The 4582-nt window shown below is 36.6% G+C and overlaps 1 annotated feature.

Annotated features, from left to right (window-relative positions):
* Nucleotides 1398-1899: an enhancer, noted in NCBI's record as "NANOG hESC enhancer chr14:39045388-39045889 (GRCh37/hg19 assembly coordinates)". NCBI's record gives its function as "activates a minimal SCP1, AML or CMV promoter by ChIP-STARR-seq in naive H9 embryonic stem cells {active_cell/tissue: H9 hESC(naive)}" and the evidence as "EXISTENCE:reporter gene assay evidence [ECO:0000049][PMID:30033119]".

The following is a 4582-nucleotide window of genomic DNA, read 5'->3' as shown; positions in this document are numbered from 1 at the left end:
TTCTTGAAAGTGCCACTTCCTGACTAGAGGCCAACCAACACAAAACCAGCAAAATCAAAATCAAAAACAAATCCTAAAACAAAACAAAATCAAAACAAAAACAAAATCAAAGACCCTCAGAGTTTACTTCACTCCCCTGCTACCTCCACTAGAGCAGGTGCTGGTATCCATGGCTGCAATACCTGAAGATAGATAATATCATAGGACTCTTTGTAGACACTCCCTAGTACCAGCCTGGAGCCCAGTAGCTCTGTTGGGTGGCTAGACCCAGAAGAGCAAAAATAATTTCTACAGTTTGGCTCCCAGGAAGCCCCATTCATAGGGGAATGGAGAGAACATCACATCAAGGGAGCACCTCTTGGGACAAAAGAATCTGAACAGCAGCCCTTGAGTCCCAGATCTTTCCTCTGACATAGTCTACCCAAATGAGAGTGAACCAGAAAAACAATTTTGGTAACATGACAAAACAAAGTTACTGAACACCCTCAAGAGATCATATCAGCTCACCAGTAATGAATCTAAACTAAGACAAAAATCTCTGAATTGCCAGAAAAAGAATTCAGAGGGTAGATTATTAAGCTAATCAAGGAGGCATCAGAGAAAGGTAAAGTCCAACTTAAAGAAATAAAAAACAATACAGGATATGAAAGGAAAATTCTTCAGTGAAATAGACAGTATGAATAAAAAAGAAGACAACTTTTGGAAATCAAGAACACACTTAGAGAAATGCAGAAATGCAGAAATGCAAAATGCACTGCAAAGTCTCAGCATAGAATTGAACAAGCAGAAGAACCTCAGAGGTCAAAGCAAGGCTTTTGAATTAATCCATCAAAGACAAAGAGAATTTAAAAAAATGAACAAAGCCTCCAAGAAGTTTGGGATTATGTTAAACATTCAAACCTAAGAATAACAGGTGTTCCTGAGGAAGAAAGAAATCTAAAAGTTTGGAAAACATATTTGAGAGAATAATTGAGGAAAACTTCCCTGGCCTTGATAGAGATCTAGACAATCAAATACAAGAAACTCAAAGAACACCTGGGAAATTCATCGCAAAAAGATCATTGCCTAGGCACATTGTCGTCAGGTTATCTGAAGTCAAGATGAAGGAAATAAGAGCTGTGAGGCAAAAGCACTAGTTAACTTATAAAGGAAAACCTATCAGATTAACAGCAGATTTCTCAGCAGGAGCTCTACAAGCCAGAGGGGATTGGGATACTATTTTTAGCTTCCTTAAACAAAACAATTATTGGCCAAGAATTTTGTACCCAGTGAAACTAAGCTTCATAAATGAAGGAAAGATACAGTCATTTCCAGACAAATAAATGCGGACAGAATTCACCACTACTAAGCCAGCACTACAAGAACTGCTAAAGGGAGCTCTAAACCTTGAAACAAATCTTCAAAATACACCAAAATAGAACTCCTTAAAGCATAAATCTCACAGGACCTATATAACAATAACACAATAAAAACAACAACAACAAGGTATTCAGGCAACAAACAACATGATGAATAGAAGAGTACTTAACATCTCAATACTAACATCGAATGTAAATGGCCTAAATGCTCTACTTAAAAGATACAGAATGGCAGAATGGATAAGGATTTACCAATTGGCCAGGCATGGTGGCTCACACCTGTAATCCCAACACTTTGAGGCTGAGGTGGGTGGATCACCTGAGGTCAGGGGTTTGAAAGCAGCATGGCCAACATGGGAAACCCTGTCTCTACTAAAAATACAAAATTGGCCAAGCATAGTGGCTCATGCCTGTAATCCCAGCAACGTGGGAGGCTGAAGCAGGAGAATTGCTTCAACCAGGGAAGAGGAGGTTGCAGTGAGCCAAAGTCACACCATTGCACTCCAGCCTGGGCAACAAGAGCAAAACTCCATCTCAAAAACAAAAAACAAAAAAACAAAAAACAAAAACAAAAAAAAAAACGGAATTCACCAATCAAGTTTCTGCTGTCTTCAGGAGACTCACCTCGCACATAACACATAGCGACTCACATAAACTTAAGGTAAAGGGGTGGGAAAAGATATTCCATGCAAATGGACACCAAAAGTGAGCAGAAGTAGCTATTCTTCTATCAGACAAAACAAACTTTAAAGCAACAGCAGTTAAAAGAGACAAAAAGGGATCTTATATAATGATAAAAATACTAGTCCAACAGGAATATATCACAATTCTAAATATATATGCAGCTAACACTGGAGCTCCCAAATTTATAAACCAATTACTACTAGACTAAGAAATGAGATAGACAGCAACGAAACAATAGTTGGGAACTTCAATACTCCACAGACAGCACTAGACAGGTCACTAAGAAATTAAACAAAGAAACAATGGACTTAAAATATACTCTACAACAAATGGACTTAACAGATATTTACAGAGCATTCTCCCCAATAACTTCAGAATATACATTTTATTCATCAGCACATGTAACATTCTCCAAGATAGACCATATGATAGGCCACAAAACAAGTCTCAGTAAATTTAAGAAAATCAAAATTATATCAAGTACTCTCTCAGACCACAGTGGAATAAAATTGGAAATCAACTCCAGAAGGAGCCCTCAAAGCCATGCAAATACATGGAAATTAAATAACCTGCTCCTGAATCATTTTTGGGTCAACAATGAAATCAAGATGGAAATTAGAAAATTCTTTGAACTGAAAGATAATAGTGACATAACCTATCAAAACATCTAGGATACAGCAAAAGTGGTGCTAAGAGGAAAGTTCATAGCATTAAATGCCTACATCAAAAAGTTTGAAAGAGTACAAGTAGACATTCTAATGTCACAGTCCATGGAACTGGAGAAACAACACAATCCAAACCCAATCCCAGCAGAAGAGAAGAAATAACAAAGATCAGAGTAGACCTAAATGAAATTGAAACAACAAGAAACTACAAAGGATAAATGAAACAAAAAGCTGATTATTTAAAAAGATAAATAAAATTGATAGACATTTAGTGAGATAAACCAAGAAAAGAAAAGTTCCAAATAAGCTCAGTTAGAAACAAAATGGGATATATTGCAACTGATACCACAGAAATATAAGCTATGAACACCTTTATGTGCATTAACTAGAAAACCTAGCAGAGATGAATAAATTCCTGGAGATATACAACCCTCCTAGGAAGATATAGAATGTCTGAACTGACCAATAACAAGCAGCAAGATTGAAATGGTAATTAAAAAAAATGCCAACCAAAAAAAATCCAGGACCAGATGGATTCACAGCTAAATTCTATCAGACATTCAAAGAAGAATTGGTACCAATTCTATTAACACTATTCCAAAAGATAAAGAGGGACTCCTCCTTAAATTTTTCCATGAAGCCAGTATCACTTTAATACCAAAACCAGGGAAAGATATAACAAAAATAGAAAATTGGAGACCAATAGATGCAAAAGTCCTCAATAAAATACTAGTGAACCAAATCCAACAACATTTCAAAAAGGCAAAACACCATGATCAAGTGGGTTTCATACCAGGGATGCAGGGATGGTTTAACATATGTAAGTCAGTAAATGTGATACACCACATAAAGAGAATCAAAAACAAAAATCACATGATCATCTCAATAGATGCAGAAAAAGCATTTGACAAAACCCAGCATCCCTTTATGATTAAAACCCTTAGCAAAACTGGCATAGAAGGGACATACCTTAAAGTAATTATAGCCATCTATGACAAACCCACAGCCAACTGAATGAGGAAAAGTTGAAGGCATTCCCCCTGAGAACTGGAACAATACAAGGATGCCCACTTTCACCACTTCTATTCAACATAGTACTGGAAGTCCTAGCCAGAACATCAGACAAGAGAAAGAAATAAAGGGCAGCCAAAAAAGTCAAACTGTTGCTGTTTGCTGATGATATGAGAGTATACCTAAAAAACCCTAAAGACTCCCCCAGAAAGCTCCTACAACTAGTAAATGAATTCAGCAAAGTTTCAGGATACAAAATTAATGTACACAAATCTGTGGCTCTGTTATACACCAATACCGACCAAGCCGAGAATAAAATCAATAACCCCTTTCACAATAGCTGCAAGATATATATATATATATATATCTAACCAAGAACGTGAAAGACCTCTACAAGGAAAATTATAGAACACTGCTGAAAGAAATTATAGATGACACCAACAAATAGAAACGCATCCCATGCTCATGGATAGGTAGAATTAATATTGTGAAAATGACCATACTGCCAAAAGCAATCTACAAATTCAATGCAATTCCCATAAAAATACCACCATCATTCTTCACAGAACTAGAAAAAACATATGGAACCATAAAAGAGCCCACATAGCCAAAGCAAGGCTAAGCAAAAAGAACAAACCTGAAGGCATTACATTACTGGACTTCAAACTAAACTATAAGGCTATAGTCATCAAAACAGCATGGTACTAGTTTAAGAATAGACACATAGACCAATGGAACAGAATAGAGAACCCAGAAATAAAGCCAAATACTTACAGCCAACTGATCTTTGAGAAAGTAAACAAAAACAAAGTGGAGAAAGGGCACCCTATTCAACAAATTGTGCTGGGATAATTGGCTAGCCAC

This window comes from Homo sapiens, chromosome 14 (genome assembly GCF_000001405.40).
Source record: "Homo sapiens chromosome 14, GRCh38.p14 Primary Assembly".
NCBI classification, from domain to species: Eukaryota; Metazoa; Chordata; class Mammalia; order Primates; family Hominidae; genus Homo; species Homo sapiens.
This window is presented reverse-complemented; position numbering and strand designations above follow the sequence as displayed.